Raw genomic sequence first — 23,035 nt, 5'->3', positions numbered from 1 at the left:
AAGCTGGTGGTTTCCAGGATGGTTCTCAGGAGGCTAGAATCAGTGGGTGCCCCCAGTGAGATCTCTGGGAGAAATATCCCATTTATCTAGGGGACTGTAAGGACCCACAGCCAGATAGGTCCAGTACAAATTAAGAGTCTTCCACCTGGGCCAAGTCAATTTACCTCCCTGGACTTCTATTTTCCTTAAAATGGGATTAATTATGACCCTTATTTTCTGGGGTCATGGTGGAAATGAAATGAGATAATTTATTTGAAAATTTAATCAGCTGAATCTCCGGTAAGATGTCTGGAGAGGAGACTTTGGAAAAGCCTCTGGGGTGAGATCTCTTCAGAGGATGATAGGAGATTCACAACATCCATCTAGACTCTCATCTCCATTGGTAGATAGGAGTAGCTTAGTAAAAGTTTGCACTTGAGAAATGTTTGCACTTTTAAAATGTTACTCTGTGTGTGGAGGGGACACTGGATGAAGTTAACTCCAGAGTCAGTTGAAAGGCAACTACAGGCTTCTAGGCAAGAGATGATGGTGGGCTGGATTAGGATAGGGTCAACAGGGATGGAGAAGGAGGGTATGTGGGGATTGGAATTTGAGCTGGGATGAACCCCTGACCTATCAATTTTTTTGCAGGATCCCATAACTAAAGATCTAGTTCAGTCATCAGGCAACATCAAAGAGATGGATTCCAGTCTTCTCCAGGCAATTGAGGAAATTGAGAAATTTTTCCAGCATCTCTCTGAGCGGCATACAGAACAGGCAGAAACCCCAGATGCACCAGAACCACAGAACTGTATGCCTCTGACTGCCCATGCTGAGGAGAGCCAACATGAGTCAACCCAGAGCAAGACGATGCCTCCCTTGGGGTCCACAATGATGACTTCTGCATGCACTAACATCCCTGGGACAGTTCTCACCCAGGACTTAACAATGCACCCTCTTAAAGCCCTTGAAGACCTAAGTGAGACTTATTCCATGGGCCAGAAAGTGACTTCCTTTGATCAGGTAAAACACACAGCAGGCTCCCAGATGACAGATGTTACTGTCACCCCAAAGTCATCACCCACTGATTGCCAGAAGACAACCATCACTGCAAGCAACATGACAATCTCCAATGAAAGTAGCCAGCTGAACACCCCAAGCAGTGACCAGACCCTCAATGAGAGTCAGATACCAGCCCTGCTTGGAGATCAGATGAAGACCCTCAGTGATAACCAGACTCTCTGTGGGGACCAGGTGACCTTCAGTAGTGACCAGACCCTCACTGATGGTCATACAGTGACTTCCGGTAGCGATGAGACCCTCTCTGGGGGCCAAATGACAACCAGTCTAGACCTCTATGGAGGGCAAATGATGACTTCCATTGATAACCAGACCCTCTGTGGGGAGCAGATGACGACCTCCAGTGGTAACCAGGCCTTCTACGGGAGACAGATGACGACCTCCACTGGTAACCAGACCCTCTGTGGAGAGCAGATGACAACCTCCACTGGTAACCAGGCCCTCTATGGGGGGCAGATGACGACCTCCGCTAGTAACCAGACCCTCTGTGGAGAGCAGATGACAACCTCCACTAGTAACCAGACCCTCTGTGGGGAGCAAGTGATGACCTCCACTGGTAACCAAGCCCTCTGTGGAGGGCAGATGACGACCTCCACTGGTAACCAGAACCTCTATGGGGGGCAGATGATGACCTCCACTGGTAACCAGACCCTCTACTGGGGGCAGATGATGACCTCCACTGGTAACCAGAACCTCTGTGGAGAGCAAGTGATGACCTCCACTGGTAACCAAGCCCTCTGTGGAGGGCAGATGACGACCTCCACTGGTAACCAGAACCTCTATGGGGGGCAGATGATGACCTCCACTGGTAACCAGACCCTCTACTGGGGGCAGATGATGACCTCCACTGGTAACCAGAACCTCTGTGGAGAGCAAGTGATGACCTCCACTGGTAACCAAGCCCTCTGTGGAGGGCAGATGACGACCTCCACTGGTAACCAGAACCTCTGTGGAGAGCAAGTGATGACCTCCACTAGTAACCAGACCCTCTGTGGAGAGCAGACGACGACCTCCACTAGTAACCAGACCCTCTGTGGGGAGCAGGTGACGACCTCCACTGGTAACCAGGCCCTCTACGGGGGGCAGATGATGACCTCCACTGGTAACCAGACCCTCTACTGGGGGCAGATGATGACCTCCACTGGTAACCAGAACCTCTGTGGAGAGCAGATGACAACCTCCACTGGTAACCAGGCCCTCTACGGGGGGCAGATGACAACCTCTACTAGTAACCAGACCCTCTGTGGAGAGCAGATGACGACCCCCACTAGTAACCAGACCCTCTGTGGGGAGCAGGTGACGACCTCCACTGGTAACCAGGCCCTCTACGGGGGGCAGATCACGACCTCCACTAGTAACCAGACCCTCTGTGGAGAGCAGATGACGACCTCCACTAGTAACCAGACCCTTTGTGGGGAGCAGGTGACGACCTCCACTGGTAACCAGGCCCTCTATGGGGGGCAGATGATGACCTCCACTGGTAACCAGGCCCTCTACGGGGGGCAGATGACAACCTCTGCTAGTAACCAGACCCTCTGTGGAGAGCAGATGACAACCTCCACTAGTAACCAGACCCTCTGTGAGGAGCAGGTGATGACCTCCACTGGTAACCAGGCCCTCTGTGGAGAGCAGATGACAACCTCCACTGGTAACCAGGCCCTCTACGGGGGGCAGATGACGACCTCCACTAGTAACCAGACCCTCTGTGGAGAGCAGACGACGACCTCCACTAGTAACCAGACCCTCTGTGGGGAGCAGGTGACGACCTCCACTGGTAACCAGGCCCTCTATGGGGGGCAGATGATGACCTCCACTGGTAACCAGACCCTCTACTGGGGGCAGATGATGACCTCCACTGGTAACCAGAACCTCTGTGGAGAGCAGATGACAACCTCCACTGGTAACCAGGCCCTCTACGGGGGGCAGATGACGACCTCTACTAGTAACCAGACCCTCTGTGGAGAGCAGATGACGACCCCCACTAGTAACCAGACCCTCTGTGGGGAGCAGGTGACGACCTCCACTGGTAACCAGGCCCTCTACAGGGGGCAGATCACGACCTCCACTAGTAACCAGACCCTCTGTGGAGAGCAGATGACGACCTCCACTAGTAACCAGACCCTCTGTGGGGAGCAGGTGACGACCTCCACTGGTAACCAGGCCCTCTATGGGGGGCAGATGATGACCTCCACTGGTAACCAGAACCTCTACGGGGGGCAGAATATGACCTCCACTGATAACCAGGCCCTCTATGGAGGCCAGATGGCAACATATAGTGGCAACCAGACCCTCTATGGGGACCAGATGCTGACTCTTCAGGTGGGCAATATGACAACGCTCACTGATGACCACAGCCTTTATGGGGGATATATGATGTCCCATCAGTTCTCATCATTGCCATACCCAGGATTCCTATGCTTTTCAAGTTCCCATTTGATTCAAGGACAACTCCCAAAACAGAAGACACAGAGCTGCCAGTTCTGGAAGAATCCTGAGGTTTCAAGGCCCTATGTCTGCACTTACGAGGACTGCAAGATGTCTTATTCAAAGGCTTGCCACCTCCGAACCCACATGCGCAAGCACACCGGTGAGTGAGGGCCCAGAAACAGGGGTGAGGGGCAAGTGGCTACAGATTTGTGCCCGGAAGCATTTGAGATTGCTGCCACTTCCTTTAAGCCAGGGATTCAAAAAATTCTATAATAGAAAAGGTTGGCACCTTCAGAAGGGTAGATAAAGCAGTCCTAGGGACAGGCTCTAGTCCTGGACCAGGGACAGGCTCTAGTCCTGGACCAGAGCCAGGCTGGCTATAGCCTTTAGTGGTGTTGACTGCTGGTTTGATGGGAATAAGTGGAGGGATTTCTTTGGCCTCTTGCAGGTAGATGTTCTTGATGCTATTTCTACTGGGACCGTCACTTCGTAGTGACAGGGCCCCCAGGCCCCACTTCCCTCATCCTCCTTATTCCCCCCACTAACTTGCCTGCCAATAACTGTCTCTCCTCCTGTTTGTTTTTTTTCTTCTTCCTTTCCTCTTCTTCCCTTCTTCACAGTTTTCCTCTTGTCTCTCCAGCTTTTGCGGCCCTCATTCCCCTCCTCCTTCACTCACCTCCACCACTCCCGTCTCTTCTGGCTCTCCCTCTCCCACTCCAACTTGTTCAAAAACGTTTTCTTGTTCACTTTAAATGTCCCTGCCCTACCTCACCCTGATGTATGACAGGTCTCTCTCTCTCTGTCTGGTCCAGGGGAGAAGCCCTATGTATGCGATGTAGAGGGATGTACGTGGAAATTTGCCCGCTCAGATGAGCTCAACAGACACAAGAAAAGGCACACTGGGGAAAGGCCCTACCTGTGTTCAATATGCAGCAAGAATTTTGCAAGATCTGATCACCTAAAGCAGCATGCAAAGGTCCACAACATTCGCCCAGGATTATGAACCCTTCAGCCCATGTGGAAATGTGTACAGCTAAAAGATTCTCCCTATTGAGGTTGTTTCCCTTGAACAAGCTCCCCTATTTCCCTATGCCAGTAGCTAGTAGGTGCTTAATATTATTCATAAGTTTTCTAAAATATACAAAAAAAGTAGGTATGCATTTTCATGTAAAAACTGGATGACTTTCAACTTGAAACCAGAAGCCCTCTTCATTCATTCCCCTCTCTCAGGGTAACGGCTTTTATCAGCATGCTGTGAATCCTTCTAGATCTTACTCTGTATTTACCTGTATGTGTACTTTTAAAACGTATCTATGTAGGTGATTGAGATTGATATGTGTATAGCTCAGAGGGTAAAGAATGAAACATTTTTTGTCTGTAGCTGAGTCCATGTTTCTTTGGAGCTTCATTCCTATGAGGTGAAAAGGAGGGGACGCTCAGTCACGTCCAGTGTAAAGTGGTCTCAGGTTAAATGGACTTTGCTTAGAAGAGTACTTAGCCTATTCAAAGGTTCAACCTCAGGCAGGTGTGGTGGCTCACGCCTGTAATCCTAGCACTTTGGGAGGCCAAGGTGGGCAGATTGCTTGAGCCTGGGAGTTCTAGACTAGCCTGGGCAACGTGGCGAAACTCTGTCTCTACAAAAAAAAAATACAAAAATTAGCCGGGTGTGGTGGTGCATGCCTGTAGTCCCAGCTACTTGGGAGGCTGAGCTGGGAGGATCACTTGAGCTCAGTAGTTGGAGTTGCAGTGAGCTATATTCACACCACTTCACTCCAGTCTGGGCGACATAGCGAGATCCTGTCTCAAAAAAAAAAAAAAGATATTGTGTAATATTATATATGAAATATATTGAATAAGATATTTAAGTTATAAGTAGAAAAAATGAGCACCTGTAAGAGCTCATCACCCAGTGTCATGCAATCAGGGGTTGATATGGCCAATCGGAACAATGAGCCAGATGGAAAGGAATGATCAAGCCTTATTTACTGACTGCTGCAGAGCAGATGGGGGAGATAGCCTTAGCCAAGACCCCAAATAAGGAGGCCTCTGCATGGAAGCACCATCGTCCTTCAACCATCCACATAAACCCAGGGTATAAAACTGTGCACTGGCTGCTTTCTGGGGTCCTTCAGCTGTGGTACAAGTGGGATACATGCAGTTAAGACTCCATCCCCGCTGGGCAGCTTTCCTGAGCCTTGGGGGACTCACTCCCAGTGAATCCTAGATTGTTGTCCCTTGCTGCCTGTAATAAACCTATTTTATTTAACTTGTTGTGTGTATGGGTGTCATTGGATCTCACTGGACTCAGACAAGCTGATAACCAGTGCACAGTGAACCTGCTTTACAGTGGGGATGCCAAGTCCTTGACTATAGCTCCTTTCAGAAAACTGCAATGCCCCGGCTATGTGCCAAGTCTGGTGAGCTCCCCTACCCATCCTTCTGTCTATCTTCTAGAATTGATGACTACCCTGCATTTTGTATATATAAATCCCTTGATACATTTATCAAAAATGCATGTATTCAAAGATAATTTGCAGGGTTTTTTTGTTTTGAGCTTCATAAATATTATACTAAGCTATATAACTTATACTAAGTTTCTTCTGAAACTCCCTTGTTTTCAACACATTATCTCTAAGATTTCATCCATGTTATTACTAAGGCCAATAAAAAGAATCCATAACAACCCCAAACAAAACTTCTCTACATTGTCAACACAGCAGGGTGGGCGTGGGGGAGTGAGAGACCAAAGAAATCTGAGAGTGCGCTAGAGTCTTACATGAAGTACAACAACTATAAAAAGAAAAGATCATACAGCTGTTCATTATCCAGATCTAATCTGCTAGATCATAAATTTTTAGACTAAAGTTTTTATTTCATTAACCTAAATATGAAAAATAGTAACATATTCCCAACCCATCCAAAAACCCCAAACATTTCTTCAGATTTCACTACAACCCTTATATATTCTAACAATCCACCAAGGATTTCACATTATATAAAACCCCCAGGTGTGGTGGCTCACACCTATAGTCCCAGCACTTTGGGAGGCCAAGGCAGGCAGATCACCTGAGGTTGGGAGTTTGAGACCAGCCTGACCAACATGGAGAAACAGTCTCTACTAAAAATACAAAATTAGCTGGGTGTGGTGGCACACAGCTGTAATCCCAGCTACTCGGGAGGCTGAGGCACGAGAATCACTTGAACCCAGGAGACGGAGGATGTGGTGAGCCGAGACTGTGCCATTGCACTCCAGCCTGGGCGACAGAGCAAGACTCAGTCTCAAAAAAAAAAAAAAAAAAAGAAAAAAAAGAACCGAAAAAAATGAACAGGGTGTCAGTAACCTGAGGGACAATATCAAGTGCTCCATCATATAGGCAGACTGTGTCAGAAATAGAAGGTGGAGGAGAACCCCAAAATTTGACAAAACAATGCCCAAAATTTTTCCAAATTTTATTAAGACCACTAAACATTTAGATTGAAAAAGTTTGATGAATCCTAAACAGAATAAAGGTAAGTTCAAAACCATACAAAATCAATCACTATATTTAAGAACAGATACATTATGTGGTAAAAACAATAAATAGCTAAGGCAAGATTAATCAAAATTCAGTATAGTGGTTACCTCTGCAAAGAAGGATGGGGAATTCAAAGCTTTAAATGTACTAGTAGATCACTTTCCCTTCTTTTTCTTTTAATTTTATTTTTTACAGAGACAAGGTCACACTGGTCTCAAACTCCTGGCCTCAAGTTATCCTAAGGATTTTTATTATTTTTTATTATTTTTCTTTTTTCCTTTTTTTTGACCTTCCTAACATGAGTGCATTTATTATTAAATTGGATATATACAAAATATTTTTTGCAGGTATGATAGATATCACAATCAATGGAAAACGAATCAAGTTCATCCATTCTTCTTCTGTGTTACTTATAACACAAGTCAGGAACCTGGAAGTCACCCTTGGCCTCACCCTCACCTAACAAATCCAGTTAACTATCACTTTCCTACTTCTCCCTACCTCCACTCTCACACCCTAGCCAAAGCCACCTTGACTCTCACCTGAAATACTGCTATGTCCCTTCCTCTCCCTTACATCCTTGCTCTAATCTAATCTCCATGTTGCAGCCAAAGAAAACACTTAACCTTATCTCTCCATCTTGAATCTATCGCACCATCCCCTTTACTATCAGAAGCAAGAGTGACAAGTAAATTTCTCAAGACACCTCATAGCCAGGAAATGGCAGAGGCAGGATTCAAAATCTACTAGAGTCCACAGGTCTTTTTTGTTTTGATTGTTTTGAGATAGAGTCTCGCTCAGTCGCCCAGGCTGGAGTGCAATGGTGAGATCTGAGCTCACTGCAACCTCCGCCTCCTGGGTTCAAGCGATTCTCCCGTCAGTCTCCCGAGTAGCTAGGATTACGGTACCCGCCATATGCCAGGCTAATTTTTGTATTTTTTGTAGAGATGGGGTTTCACCATGTTGGCCCGGCTGGTCTCGAATCTCTAACCTCAAATGATCCGCCTGCCTCGGCCTCCAAAAGTGCTGGGATTACAGGCGTGAGCCATCGCGCCGGGCCCAATTTGTGTACTTCTAGTAACATCCTTTCTCCGCTAGATTGTGACCTCCACAAGAGCAGGAGCCTGTTTTGCCCACCATTGTAGTGCACATCATACACCCTTGATCACTCTGGTCCTCTCCACGTCCACTTCTTGGTGAAAATGCTAGGTCACCAAGCAGGCCTCTCATCCTACATTCCAACAACAAGCCATCTGGTTTGCTGACCCTACCCATGAGGCTGTGTGTGAGCCAGGTGGGCTGGGGAACAGAGACCATCCCTGGCCCAGTGAACCCGAGATGACCTGCTCCATGGAAGGGATCTGGTGCCCTGGTAGAAAGACACTTTGAGTACCCAAGACTTCAATCCCTGGGGCTAGTGAATGGGTCATAAATGAGCCACTTCTGCCCCTGTTCTTTTAATAATGTCCATTCCCCTCACATAGGAGCTTGGATGAAGGGCACCTGGATGTCCATCCCAGGTATACTGGGGCCACTAGTAACACAGACAAAGGCAGTGAAGTAGGACAAGGTCAGGGTAGGGGTGAGAGGGCAGGGGCAGGCACAGCCAAGGCTGTGGGGCTTCCCCAGAGGCCCAGATAGGCTTGAGCCTGCAGAGGACCGGCTTCTCTTCTTGGCAGCACTGGGCACATTCATAAATGTTGTCTATGATCTTTCTGCTCTGCAGAGGCAGGGTGCCTTCATGCACTTCTGAATCCTTACTGTCCATGCCATAGTTTCCAGAAGATAGACATGTCCAACGGTATATGTCCAAGAAATGTGAGGTGCAGCTAGCCCCCATGAGTCCTTTGGGTCTGATGGAGGCACCTCCTTGAGAAGTCTTTCTTCCCTGACACATCCTTTAGTTAACTCCATGCTCCTCACCATGGGTCTCCACAGCCTTGTTGCGCTCAGTATTGTAGGCTCAAAAAACATTTTTCTGAATGAATGTAGAACTTGAAGACTGCCTCTCCTCTGAACAGTTGCCACGTCCAGTGCTCTCAGCCTGGAATCCTCTTCCTTCTTCATTCACCTGTTCAGTTTATTTCAAAATTTGAGGGATTACTAGGTGTTACACTCTTACTGGGCCCAGGGATTACCTCCTCCAGAGAGCCTTTCTGACCCTTCCATTAGGGGCTCCTCTTCCCCATGGCTACTGTACCGAGGTGGACCTCTGAGCCCCCAGATCAAGACGGTCCCTTGAGCACAGAAACCAGCTCTGATTCATCTCTCTGTGCTTGGCACCAGCCTCGTTCAGGAAACACCCATAGAAGGCACCATCTTCTTACGGAAGAGACCACCTCTGGGGCAGACAGATCCTGGTTGGGATTCTAGATCTGCACTTGATAGCTTGGCCAAGTTCCTTTCTCTCTATCAATTTCCTGGAGTAAAACAGCCTGCCGAGTCTAAATATGAGGTTCTAAACTACCTGGCTGGTTTGCCAAGATAGTCATTATCCCCTTAACCCCAAGGGAGAGCAAGGAAAGATAGGCCACTTAATATCTGGTGCTTTGTAGTCCAGGGACCTAAGGAAGGTGGGAGGAGAAGAAGTTACAGTGAGATTCATCTTTATCTGCCCCAGGCTTAGGTCCTCCTCTCCCTCCTAGTCCTCAGTCACCTAGAATACAGAGCCTGAAAACAAGAACTAAGTACTGGTGTTTTATTTGGAGAGGTGCAAACCCAAGGCATTGGAAGTGAGAAAATGGAAGAAAGGCGGGAAAGAATGGGAAGTAACGTAAGGTGATGTATTTAATAGGCTGGGGTGGGCACTGCTTCATGACAAGCCTTGCAGAGGTCACAGTAGTTCTGTCCACCGGCTACTTGGGAGGCCTCCCCATTGATGGTACTGTTTTGGAGAGTTGGTGCCATGCAGCAATTTATGAAAGGCAGGGGAAAAGGGGGAATTGATTTGCCTGAGTCTCACCTATCTCCCATTTTCCACTAGTCAAAAAAAAAATTTTTTTTTTGAGATGGAGTCTTGCTGTCACCCAGGCTGGAGTGCAATGGCACAATCTTGGCTCACCGCAACCTCCACCTCCCGGGTTCAAGCCATTCTCCTGCCTCAGCCTCTCGAATAACTGGGACTACAGGCGCACGCCACCATGCCTAGCTAATTTTTGTATTTTTTGTAGAGACAGGGTTTCACCATATTAGCCAGGCTAGTCTCAAGACTCCTGACCTTGTGATCCACCCGCCTCAGCCTCCCAAAGTATTGGGATTACAGGCGTGAGCCACTGCGCCCGGCCTCAAATTTTATCCCATAAATATTAACTCCCAGCCAGACACCATGGCTTATGCTTGTAATCCCAGCATTTTGGGAAGCTGAGGTGGGCAGACTACTTGAAGCCAGGAGTTTGAGATTAGTCTGGCCAACATGGTGAAACCCCGTCTCTACAAAAAATACAAAAATTAGCTGGGTGTGGTGGTGCTTGCCTGTAATCCCAGCTATTCAGGAGGCTGAAGCAGGAGAATCGTTTGAACCCGGGAGGCAGAGGTTGCAGTGAGCTGAGATCACACCACTGTACTCCAGCCATGGTGGCAGAGCAAGACTCTGTCTCAAATAAATAAATTTCCCCACACTTCTAAGTTTGCTAGCAGCAACTTGGGATGCCAGATCCCATGCCCTATGCCAGGGCATTCCATCCAAGTCTGTAAAGTGGTGGGAAGAAACAGAAACTCTGGGTACATGGCCAGTGAGTGCCAGGGAGAATGATGCAGTATATGTGCCACGTCTAATACAGTACAAAACTAGTTTTTTCATTTTCTGGAAGAAACAAAGCATAGTGATCCAAGAACTTTCTCAAGGTCACATGGATATTAAGTGGCAAATTCAGGATTTGAAAATAGTCTGGCTCTGGAAACTGGATTTTATGTAGCAAGCAAAGGAGTCACTAAAGGGTTTTAAGCTGGGGAGCGACAAGAAATAAAGAGCATTTTAATGAAGCTCCCAGTCTCTACTGTGCTCCACATTCGCATCTGACTAAACTCCAGCAGAAGCAGGTGGCCCCAGAGAGGTTAAGGGCATCCGAGACAGGGTTTGAGGAGTCTCTGGCTCCAGAGCTCCGTGTAGGCTTCAACACTGACCCATAATCTTCCTGTCTTCATCTAATCCTACACCCACCAAAGAGAAGAACTGGTCAGAGGCAGGTAGGATCTGTGTAGAAAAGCCAGAATGAGGCCGGCTGCGGTGGCTCACGCCTGTAATCCCAGCACTTTGGGAGGCCAGCGTGGGCGGATCATGAGGTCAGGAGATCGAGACCATCCTGGCTAACACAGTGAAACCCCGTCTCTACTAAAAATACAAAAAATTACCCGGGCCTGGTGGCACGTGCCTGTAGTCCTAGCTACTCGGGAGGCTGAGGCAGGAAAATCACTTGAACCTGGGAGGTGGAAGGTGCAGTGAACCGAATTGCGCCACTGCACTCCAGCCTGGGAGACAGAGTGAGACTCCGTCTCAAAAAAATAAAAAGGAAAAAAGGAAAAAGAAAACCCAGAATGAGGAGAGGAGACTGACCTAAGGACCAGCAGCAGGAGGACTGTCCTGCTCTCCATTGTTGTTGTTGGCCTGTGGGTCTGAGGGTCCCGGCCGATGAGTCTTCTGGTGTTGCTTGAGATGGTCAGACCTCATGAACTCCCGGCTGCACTGATCACATTTATATGGTCGATATCTGGTGTGTACCCGCATATGTCGTCTAAGCTCATCAGAACGGAAGAAAGACCATGAACAACTTTCCCAGTTGCAAGAATATGGCCTCTCACCTGGGAATGACAAGGGAGAGATGGAATTTAGAATACAGTAGGAAGGAAGGGGTCTAACTCTGTGAGGCAGAGCAGTCCAGGTTGAGGATTCAAAAGGGAAGGTCCAGGGAACCAGGGAGGGGCAACACAATCAGGAGTGCCCGCCCCAGTCATCTTGGCACAGTCCTCCTGTATGGCAAGTCGGGGGGCCAGTCTAGCTTAGTTCCAAGCTTGGAAGATGAAAGGCTCATCCCAAACAATTACCCACCAGTGGCCCAGGACAAATCTAAAGCCCAGAGACTCCTCCATCCCCACCCCACCTGACACCTCCTTCACCTGTGTGCTTGCGCTGGTGGCTCACGAGGTGGGAGCGTTTGGTATAAGCTTTTCCGCAGTTCTCGTAGTTGCAGCAGTAAGGCCTTGCCTCTGAGGAGCCCCTTCTACCAGTCCCTTCCTGAGGCCTGGAGTTCTTCTCTACTGTCTGTGGAGCAGGTCCGGGCTGCTCTGGTAGAAATGGGCCTTCTTGAGAGTCTGGCTGACTGACAAGAGAGTCCTGAGATCCTAAAACCAGCAATGACTGGGACTCAGCTGGGGGCATCCCAAGGTCATGGGCATCTTGCGGGGGCAACATCTGAGCCATGGAGGGGAGCACTGCCTGGGCCTCAGTGGAAGGCACAGTCGGGCCCAACAATGTTTCGTCAGAAGGTACTGTCGAGAGGCCAGGGTAAGGCACTGGAGGGTTCCCAGTGTGGGACATTATTGGGATTCCAGTGGAAGCCGAGACTGGCAGCCCATTGGGGGGCATCCTTAGATTCCCACCGAAGGGCCTGGCTACCCTTGGAATATTGGGCTCTCCTACGGGCATTAGTTGGGGCCCACTGAAAATCGTCATCTCTTGCTGAGGGGGAGACATTCTCTGACAGTAAATCATCCGGGAAGGAGTGAGAGTCGCTTGGGGGCAGTAGCTCATACCACGCTCAGGCAGTGGCATACTGAACTGTGGCCCCCCTTCATTCACATTCTGCCCCGGCGCCTCAACAGACACCAAAGGGGACCCCAGCATCTCTGCGCTGTGAGGAAAGTGCTGAATGCTTGGTAGGCCTTGGTTCCAAGAGGTGTGCACTCCAGAGCTTCCAGAAGATGAAGACATGTTCAAGATGGGCGCTGAGTTCTCGTTATCCTTGGGGAAAAAGAGTCAGGTGATTTTTGCTCAAATTCCAGTTCCACATGTTCCTCCTCTTCATCCCCAGACCCCATCCTAATCCAGCCCTCTATTTCCATCTCTTGCTTGAATTATCCTGCCTCCAGACCATTTCCCAGCTTGGGCTTTCTAACATGCGGTCTGGCTGATACAAGCCCCACGGAAGCCTAAATGTAACTCATGCCACCTTCCCTTGGACATGTTTTTGGTTTTTATTTCACACAAAGCAACAAAGAGAGCAAATAAAACAGTCCATAACCTACACCTTCAGCAAAACTGAGAAAATGTTCAAACTCCAGTTTTTTTTTTTCTTTTTATTGAGACGGAGTTTCGCTCTTGTTGCCCAGGCTGGAGTGCAATGGCGTGATCTTGGCTCACCACGACCTCTGTCTCCCGGGTTCAAGTGATTCTCCTGCCTCAGCCTCCTGAGTAGCTGGGATTACAGGCATGCACCACCATGCCCAGCTAATTTTGTATTTTTAGTAGAGACGGGGTTTCTCCATGTTGGTCAAGCTGGTCTTGAGCTCCTGACCTCAGGTGATCTGCCCACCTTGGCCTCCCAAAGTGCTGGGATTACAGGCGTGAGCCACCGCGCCTGGCCCAAACTCCAAATTATACATAAGTGTGAAAGTGAAAGAACATCCCAAACCAGCAGAACGGGTGCAGAAAGCCACAGAGATGAAAGGAATTGAGGCTGCAGATGGGTCTCGGCTTTGGCAAAACTTAGACATCATCTGCAAATATTTACAGCGTCTGCCCTGAGTGGGAACTGCCTGGGCAGGTCTGAGATCAAGCACTGGAGGAGAGATGGGGAAAAGGCAGATGTGAAAAAAACACTTCTTAAAAAAAGGGATGGGGGTTGTCTGGAAGTCAGGGGCAGTTTCCTTAATGACTGACTTGCATGAAGGGTAAGAAAGAGATTGGTGGTAGAAGGTCTTAAAATAGGATAGAAGCCAAGAACCATATTTTTAAAAGCTGTCAGTAGTCCAGGCGCAGCGGCTCACAACTAGGTAATCCCAGCACTTTGGGAGGCCGAGGCAGGTGGATTGCTTGAGCTCAGAAATTTCAAAAAGAAAAACAAAATCAGCTAGGTGTGGTGGCGTGTGCCTGTAGTCCCAGCTACTTGGGAGGCTGAGGCAGGAGAATCACTTGAGTCCAGGAGCCAGAGGTTGCAGTAAGCTGAGATTGTGCCATTGCACTCCAGCCTGTGCTGACAGAGTGAGACTCTGTCTCAAGACAACAGCAACAAAAAAGTCCATTACTGTAGCAATAGAAGAGGGAGCTCTTGAGTTGAGAAACGAATAAAGCTATCCTATCATCTCCTATTCACTCTTCAATTGGGATGGTCCAGAAAAGAACAATCCATTCAAATATGACAACCAAAAGAGAAGTTTAAAATACAATATCCATACAAGATAATAAACCACCAAGACAGAAATTGAAGATTGCAATTAAAAAAAAAAGTCACCCGAAAATTGTTGCTACAAATCAAGGGAAAACGTAACAACAATCAAACACAAGAAAGAAAAGATAAGAAAAGAAAGAAAAGAGAAGAAAGAAAGAAGAGAAGAAAGAAAGAAAAGAGAAGAAAGAAAAGAGAAGAAAGAAAGAAAAGAGAAGAAAGAAAGAAAGAAAGAAAAAGAAAGAAAGAAAGAAAGAAAGAAAGAAAGAAAGAAAGAAAGAAAGAAAGAAGGAAAGAAAAGAAAAGAAAAGAAAAGAAAGAAAGAAAGGGAAAGATCCACCGAGGCGGGTGGATCACTTGAGGTCAGGAGTTCAAGGAAGGAAGGAAGGAAGGAGGGAAGGAGGGAGGGAGGGAAGGAAGGAAGGAAGTAAAAACTTGAAGCAATTACAAATTTTGCAGCAGTTATAGGAACATCACAGGTCAGAAATAGGGAAATTCAAAAAAGTTACATCCAGACAACAGGATGGGGTTATATTAGAGAGTAGGGAATGGGGAAAGATAAGAAAGGGACACTGGACGGGCTTCTATTTCTTGACCTGAGTGACAGTTTCACAGGTTTTACTTTGTAACAAACAGTTCATTACTTTGTAGAAGCTGTACTTACATTCACTTTTCTGTTTGAATGTCATTTTTAGCAATATGGTTTAAAATAAGTTAGTATTGCTAGGCACAGTGGCTCATGCCTATGATCCTAGCTCTTTGGGAGGCCCAGGTGGAAGGATCTCTTGAGTCCAGGAGTTCAAGACCAGCCTGAGCAACATAGGGAATCCTCATCTCTACAAAGAATTAAAAAAAAAAAAAAAAAACAAGCCAGGCATGGTAGCATGCGCCTGTGGTCCCAGCCACTCAGGAGGCTGAAGTGGAAAGGATCACTTGAGCCTGGGAAGTCGAAGCTGCAGCGAGCTGTGATCGCATCACTGCTGTCCAGCCTGGGTGACAGAGTGAGACCCCATCTCAAAATAAATAATAATAATGCTAAATTTAAATAGGAAATATTCTATACTAATTCACAAGGTAAAAAATATATATTTTTTTTCTAGCTCTGTCCAGTAAAATAGCCTATCGAAGCATTTGTGACTGTAATAACAACGTGTGCCTCTAGAGCCTAGACTTGTCTCTAATTCTATTCCTTGCTAAAAGTTAGACCAAGAATTTCCTGACTCCAAGACTGGGAAAAGGAAGGTTTAAGGGAGACTGGTACATTTCGTGCCAGAAAATAAGGGAGCTTTCAAAGATTAGGACTGGGTCAAAAGGAGACAGGAAGTGACATCAAGGAAGATAGCAGGGTAGGAAGCACCAGGAACCTGTATCCTCAGCAAGGTAACTATCACACTGGCAGCATTTGTCTGTTATAAGTTTTTTGGAACAATGAAGGGTATTAAAGGCTTGTAACTTCCAAAGGAAGGCTTTGAAAGTAAATTGCAGTTAATTTTGGTCAACCTAAATTCTTAGGTAGGTAGTAGCTACCGATACACACCCCATGTTCCTGGAGCAACTTGCATGCAGCTTGCAGGAGCCAGAGTGGGCAATAAAAACCTTGTCCTTGGCCGGGTGCGGTGGCTCACGCCTGTTATCCCAGCACTTTGGGAGGCCGAGGCGGGTGGATCGCAAGGTCAGAAGATCGAGACCATCCCAGCTAACATGGTGAGACCCATGTCTCCACTAAAAATACAAAAAAATTAGCCAGGTGTGCTGGTGGATGCCTGTGGTCCCAGCTACTCAGGAGGCTGAGGCAGGAGAATGGTGTGAACCCGGGAGGCAGAGCTTGCAGTGAGCCAAGATCATGCCACTGCACTCCAGCCTGGGTGACACAGCAAGACTCTGTCTCAAAAAAACAAAACAAAACAAAACAAAACAAAAAAAACCTTGTCCTCCAACTATTAGGGAATCTATATCCTGATTGTTATTTGCTGTTTCTGATTATGAGGTGCAGACAGAGGTTGGCAGCCATTATGGCAACTCAACCCCCAATGTTACAACCCCCTCCCCTTCCCACTGAAGAGACTTCCAGATATGAATACAAATATCCAAGAAGCTCAACAAAATTCAAGTAGGATAAACTCACAGACCTATACCAAGAAACATTATAATAAAACAGTTGAGGCCAGGTGCGGTGGCTCATGCCTGTAATTCCAACACTTTGGGAGGCTGAAGCAGGTGGATCTCTTGAGGTCAGAAGTTCAAGGCCAGCCTGGCCAACATAGTGAAACCCCGTCTCAACTAAAAATACAAAAATTAGCCAGGTGTGGTGGCGGGCACCTGTAATCCCAGCTACTCAGGAGGCTGAGGCACGAGAATTGCTTGAATCCAGGAGACAGAGTTTGCAGTGAGCCAAGATCGCACTATTGCATTCCAGAGAGTGAGACCCCGTCTCAAAAATAAAAAATAAAACTGTCGAAAGCCCAGGACAAAGAGAGAATCTTGAAAATAGCAAGAGAAGTGACTCATCGCTTATAGGGGATCCCACAAATTACCAGTAGCTCTTTCATCAAAAACCTTGGACACTAAAAGACCATGGGTTGATATATTCAAAGTACTAAAGGAAAAATAACTATTAACCATCCTATATACGGCAAAACTGTCTTTGCAAAATGAGGAAGAAATTAGACATTCCCAGGTAGACAAAAGCTGAGAGATCATTACCACTAGACATGTCCTGCAAGAAATGCTAATGGCAGTCCTTAAGGTTGAAATGAAATGACACTAGATAGTAGCTTGAAGCCATGTGAAGAAATCTGTCATAAGAAAAATTTCTGATAAGGGTAAATATATGGACAATTGTAAAAGTGAGTATTATTTTAACTTTGATATATAACTCCACTTTTTGTTTTCTACATGATTTAAAAGAATGCATAAAATTTATACTTTTATTTTTTGACATACGATGCATAAAAATGTAATTTAGTGAGATCAGTAACTGAAAAGAGGTGGGAATGGAGCTATACAGAAGCAGTTTTTATGTGCTATTGAAGTTAATCTGGTATAAATTCAAATTAGAATGTTATAAACTAGGATGTCAAATGTAATCCCCATGGCAACCACAAAGGACATAGCTAGAGAATACATACAAAAGGGGCCAGGCACAGCAGCTCACACCTGTAATCCCAGCACTTTGGGAGACCGAGGTGGGTGGATCACTTGAGGTCAGGAGTTCGAGACAAGCCTGGCCAACATGGTAAAACCCCATCTCTACTAAAAATACAAAAAATTAGCCGGGCGAGGTGGCGGGCGCCTGTAGTCCCACCTACTCGGGAGGCTGAGGCAGGAGAATGGCGTGAACCCCGGGGGCGGAGCCTGCAGTGAGCCGAGATCGTGCCACTGCACTACAGCCTGGGCGACAGTGAGACTCCATCTCAAAAAAAAAAAAAAAAAAATTAGCCAAGTGTGGTGGCACGTGCCTGTAGTCCTAGCTACTCAGAGGCTGAGGCAGGAGAATCACTTGAACCCAGGAGGTAGAGGTTGCAGTCAGCTGAGATCCAGCCACTGCACTCCAGCCTGGGCAACACAGCGAGACTCTGTCTCAAAAAAAAAAAAAGAATATATACAAAAGGAAATTGTGTTTTAAGGAAATGTATTTTCACTACAAAAAAAAAAATCAAACAAAAAGACAATGCTGGAAATGAGGAAAAGAATGGCAGAATTAAATCATTCCTTGAAAGTAAAATACTTTGGAAAGTAAATGGATAATACTTTCCAAAAGACAATTTGGCAGAATGGATTAAAAACATGATCCAAATATATGCTGTATATATATTTAGATCCAAACACCACAATAAACCAAGTAGATCTAACAGACATACACAGAACACTCCACTCAACAATAGAATATCCATTCTTCGAAAGTGTTCATGGGACATTCTTCAGAAGACCATATAGTAGATCACAAATTAAGTCTCAATAGATTTCAAAATAAACTTTTCTCTTGCCGCTTTTAGAAAAAAATAAAAAAAAAAAGGTATCATACAAAGTATCTTCTCTGACCCACAACCAGATAAACTAGAAAATTTACAAATCTGTGTGGAAATTAAATAGCACTCTCTGAAACAATCAATGGGTCAAATAAAAAAATCACAATGAAAATTAGAAAATACTTAGAGACCAATAAAAATGAAAACATAACTATCAAAACTAATGGGATAGATACAGCAAAAGCAGTCATAAGGGGAAAACCTACTGGTTTAAATGCTTTCAGTAAAAAAGATCTCAAACCAACAACCTAACTTTATACCTTAAGGAACTAGAAAAATACACTAAACCCCAAACCAGCAGAAGAAAGGAATGAAAAAAATCAATGAAACTAAAAGTTCTTAGGAAAGATTAACAACATTGCCAAACACTTAGCTAGATCAACTAAGGAAAAAGAAAAGACTCAAATGATTGAACATGAGAAATGAAATCGGGGACATTATTACCAATTTTACAGAAGTAAAAAGGATTATAATACAATATTATGAAAAATTGCACACCAACAAATTGGACAACCTGGATAAAATGGACAAATTCCTAGAAACACAAAACCTATCAAGACTGTTACAGGCTGAGCATTTTGAGACTACGAAGCAGGTGGATCGCTTGAGGCCAGGAGTTCGAGACCAGCCAGGGCAACATGGTGAGACCCCCCATTTCTACAAAAAAACCCTAAAAATTGCCAGGTATAGTGGCAAGTGTCTGTAGTCCCAGCTACTCCAGAGGCTGAGATGTGAATGGTGCGATCAATCATGGTTCATTTTGGGCTGGAATACAGTGGTATGATCATGGCTCACTGCAGCCTCACGTGACAAAAGCTCAGCTCTTATCCTAACTTTGAAGATTGCTAATAGAAGTGAATAAATTAAGCATTTATTCTGCCTCTAAAAGAAAAAAAAATTCAAAATTACCAAATAATTGCAGTTAAATATTACTTCCTACTTTACAGAAGAATACAAACTAATAAATGTAGAATGAATGGTGGAATTAGAAAATTTATTTTGCTGCCAGGTGCAGTGGCTCATGCCTGTAATTCTAGTACTTTGGGAGGCCAAGGGGGGTGGATCACTTGAGGTCAGGAGTTCAAGACCAGCCTGGCCAACATGGCAAAACCCTGTCTCTACTAAAAATACAAAAAAGTAGCCGGGCGTGGTGGTGCATGCCTGTAATCCCAGCTACTCGGGAGGCTGAGGCATGAGAATCGCTTGAATTTGGGAGGCAGAAGTTGCAGCAGTGAGCCAAGATCGTGCCACTGCACTCCAGCCTGGGGGAGAGAGTGAGACTCTATCTCAAAAAAAAAACCAAAAACGGCCATTCATACTGCAGTCGGTCAGTATTCGGTTGTTGGATTCAGTGTGCTATCGGACCCAAAGGGTGATGGCACCGCTAGGATGAAGCTCGTGAGATTTTTGATGAAATTGAGTCATGAAACTGTAACCATTGCATTGAAGAACAGAACACAGGTCCATGGAACAGTCACAGGTGTGGATGTCAGCATGAATACACATCTTAAAGCTGTGAAAATGACCCCGAAGAACAGAGAACCTGTACAGCTGGAAACGCTGAGTATTCGAGGAAATAACATTCGGTATTTTATTCTACTAGACAGTTTACCTCTGGATACACTACTTGTGGATGTTGAACCTAAGGTGAAATCTAAGAAAAGGGAAGCTGTTGCAGGAAGAGGCAGAGGCAGAGGAAGAGGAAGAGGACGTGGCCGTGGCAGAGGAAGAGGGGGTCCTAGGCGATAATGTCTCTCAGGATTACTGTTTCAAAGTCATACGGGATTTGGGATATTTTTTGTACAGGTTGTGTTTATGTCAGTTTTTAATAAACATAAAAGTGGGACAAAAAAATGAAAAAAGGAAAAGACATAAAGGAAAAGGAAATTTATTTTGCCATCCCTAAGGAAATTTAATTGAGGAAAAATTTAAATTTGGTGTTAAAACCAGTAGGTGAATGGCTGGTAGGGAACTGGACACTGGATACACAAAAGGCAGAATCACACAGATTACTTTCTGACCACAAGGTAAATTTCTACAGAGAGATCAATGAGGCTTTTCGCTACCTTAATACAAGTATCACCAAATGGTAGCCAGATGTGTCTCCTGATGTAATGCAAGATGAAACCTACCATACACATGAGGCATTCTTGCCAAAAATCTTGAATCCAGTTAAGCTGTAAGATCTAATCATAACTTAAAGGTAATACAAGTGATAGAAGATAAAGCTAAATGTTATCATGAGGAAGCAATCTGATATATCGGAAAGGAACATTCTATAAGACAAAAGTTAGCATCATGAAAAACTGAATCCCAATCATGAAAAAATAAAACTATTCTAATTTCAGAGACTCAAGGGACATAATCACCAGATACAGTGTATGGTCTTAAATTCTGGTTTGGACGTACCAGCTACGAAGTACATTTTAGGAATAGCTAGGGGCATTTGAATAAGGCTTGCATCTAAGATAATTTAAAGGAATTATCGGCTGGGCGTGGCGGCTCATGCCTGTAATCCCACCTCTTTGGGAGGCTGAGGCGGGTAGATCATTTGAGGGCAGAAGATTGAGACCAGCCTGACAAACATAGCAAAATCCCGCTACTAAAATTACAAAAAATTAGCTGGGTGGAGTGGCACACGCCTGTAATCCCAGCTACTTGGGAGGCTGAGGCACGAGAATTGCTTGAACCTGGGAAGCGGAGGTTTCAGTGAGCTGAGATGGTGCCACTGCACCCCAGCCTGGACAACAGCACCAAGACCCTGTCTCAAAAGAAAGTGTATATATATATACAATTTTGATACGTTTGATTATGTGGTTTTGGCTATAGAGAAAAATGTTCATTTTTTAAAAAAAACTCTAGAAGAGTTGGGAAGATCTTGTTTTATTTTTTATTTAATTAATTTTAGAGACAGGATCTCACTATGTTGCCCAGGCTGAAGTGCAGTGGCTATGCCCAGGTGTGATCGTTGTGGACCACAGCCTAAAACTCCTGAGCTCAAACGAGCCTTCTGCTTCAGCCTCCTGGGCTGCTGGGACTACAGGTGTGAGCCACCATGCCCAGCCTTATCTGTTTTATTTACCACTATATGCTCAGCAACTAGCATAAGACAGACATATAATAGGAACTAGGTAAATGACTATTGGGTGGGCACCTCTGGGGTGCTCAGCCTCTCCTCCCTAACTCTCAGCAATGGCCCTCTTGTTTTCCCAGTCCTTCATGGCAAATTAAGTTGTCTAAACATGCCTTCACCACTACTTTGCCTTATGAGTCTCCCAAATTTGCTCTGGCCTCTATCTCTCCACAGAACCAGCTTTCATAAAGGTCACCACTGATGACTTCCATCCCACTATGACCAAGCAGCACTTTCCAGACTCCTCGCTTGAACTCTCAGGAGCTTATACGACCACTGGCCACACCCTTCTTAGAATGCTTGGCCTCTCTAACACGCATGGCCACACTTTCCAAGTTTTTCTCCTTCCCTTCTCTCAGACCCCCTCCTTCACAGTTTCTTTTGCAGATTTCCCTTTCCCTGCTCTCTCTGGGCAAGCTTCCCCATGCCAGTGGTTTTGTTTCTGTTTACAGTCCAACTATTCCTAAATCTGGAATCTTCGCTCTGGCGAAGATGGCTCCTGAATTTTCCAGCTACCTATTGTTTGAGTCCTTTCGGATGGCCCACATGCTCTTCTAATGGACTATGGCCAAAATTCACTAGCATCTTTGCCCACCTCCCTCAAACAACAAATTAATCTTGTCCTTCTCATCCTTCACTCTCTCTCAGAAAATGTCACTATTGTCACCCAATTGTGCAAGCAAGAAATCTGTTACTCTAGATGTCTCCCTCACCACCCGGGGACCAATGATTGTGGTCTCTGCCTCCAAAACATCTCCACAATCTATGATATATTTAGCTTCTCCATCTCCACTCTCACTTCTGCAGGTAGGCCGCCATTTGAATTCTCACCTGGATTATCACAAAAGCTTTCTAACTGTTGCCTTGAATCCAGCCCACATCCACCAGGGCACTCCTTTGAAAATGCAAATCTAATTGAGACAGATTATGTTTAAACTCATCAATGGCTTCCCACTGTTCTTGGAATAAACAAGCCCTGAATGATCTCAATGGTGTCCCTGGGGCCACCCTTCCATCACTGTCTAGGCCCTGGTCTTTCAGTTCCTCCTAAGAGGAAGCATGCAGCCTGTGGTCTCAGACCTGGGAACCTTTCACCTGACGGGTTCTTTAGTCCCAGAACAGAGTCTCAGCTGTCTCCTAAGCCTCCCAAATCGGGTCAAACACCTCTGGTATCTGCTCCCACGCGCCCCTGACTTCTTCTTCATGTAACGCTGTACAATTCCAATCATTCAGTTAACGATTTATTCATACAATTTTATATATATCTGTTTCATGGTAAATTCATCATTGTATTTCCAGGGTCTGGGAAAAGCCTACCACTTAGTAGGGCTCCAATTAACATTTTTGGGGTTTTTTTTTTTTTTCCTGTTGTTTCCTGCTCACTTCCTAACTTGGTCTTTGCTGTCCTGCCTACTCAAGTCCCTCACCAGAAAGTTGCCTAGAACCCTCTTACCCGCCACGCGGCCAACACAAGCTCTACTGCTGGGCGAACAT

General features: G+C 45.8%; 2 protein-coding genes and 1 pseudogene across 7 annotated transcripts in view, besides 1 other annotated feature; 2 read left to right on the top strand and 1 right to left on the bottom strand.

The window, feature by feature from the left end:
* The first annotated feature begins 678 nt into the window (after positions 1-678).
* KLF18 (KLF transcription factor 18) lies at positions 679-4,489 on the top strand. The gene is made up of 2 exons (NM_001358438.1): positions 679-3,646; positions 4,299-4,489. Exons 1-2 carry the CDS (start codon positions 679-681, stop codon positions 4,487-4,489), a joined length of 3,159 nt encoding a protein of 1,052 aa, NP_001345367.1.
* A 2,680-nt stretch (positions 4,490-7,169) lies between these two features.
* KLF17 (KLF transcription factor 17) overlaps positions 7,170-23,035 on the bottom strand; it is a 91,214-nt gene continuing 75,348 nt past the window's right edge. For 4 of the 6 annotated variants that reach the window (XM_011540700.2, XM_047445936.1, XM_047445938.1 and 1 more), the window contains 3 exons: positions 12,114-12,957; positions 11,554-11,798; positions 7,170-9,072 (listed from right to left, as the gene is read on the bottom strand). In XM_011540700.2, the coding sequence (XP_011539002.1) occupies positions 11,554-11,798; positions 12,114-12,927 (1,059 nt within the window). In that variant the 5' untranslated portion in view covers positions 12,928-12,957 and the 3' untranslated portion in view covers positions 7,170-9,072. The remainder of the gene's footprint in view (positions 9,073-11,553; positions 11,799-12,113; positions 12,958-23,035) is intronic. The other 2 variants (XM_005270465.4, XM_011540704.3) reach the window with 2 other exon arrangements.
* On the top strand, positions 19,715-20,256 carry LOC100129492 (small nuclear ribonucleoprotein Sm D1 pseudogene; annotated as a pseudogene).
* Positions 22,176-22,943: an enhancer, noted in NCBI's record as "OCT4-NANOG-H3K27ac hESC enhancer chr1:44585039-44585806 (GRCh37/hg19 assembly coordinates)". NCBI's record gives its function as "activates a minimal SCP1, AML or CMV promoter by ChIP-STARR-seq in naive H9 embryonic stem cells {active_cell/tissue: H9 hESC(naive)}" and the evidence as "EXISTENCE:reporter gene assay evidence [ECO:0000049][PMID:30033119]".

Source organism: Homo sapiens, chromosome 1, assembly GCF_000001405.40.
Source record: "Homo sapiens chromosome 1, GRCh38.p14 Primary Assembly".
In the NCBI taxonomy this organism is placed as follows: domain Eukaryota; kingdom Metazoa; phylum Chordata; class Mammalia; order Primates; family Hominidae; genus Homo; species Homo sapiens.
Note: the sequence above shows the minus strand (reverse complement) of the source record. Positions and strands in the feature narration are given on the sequence as shown.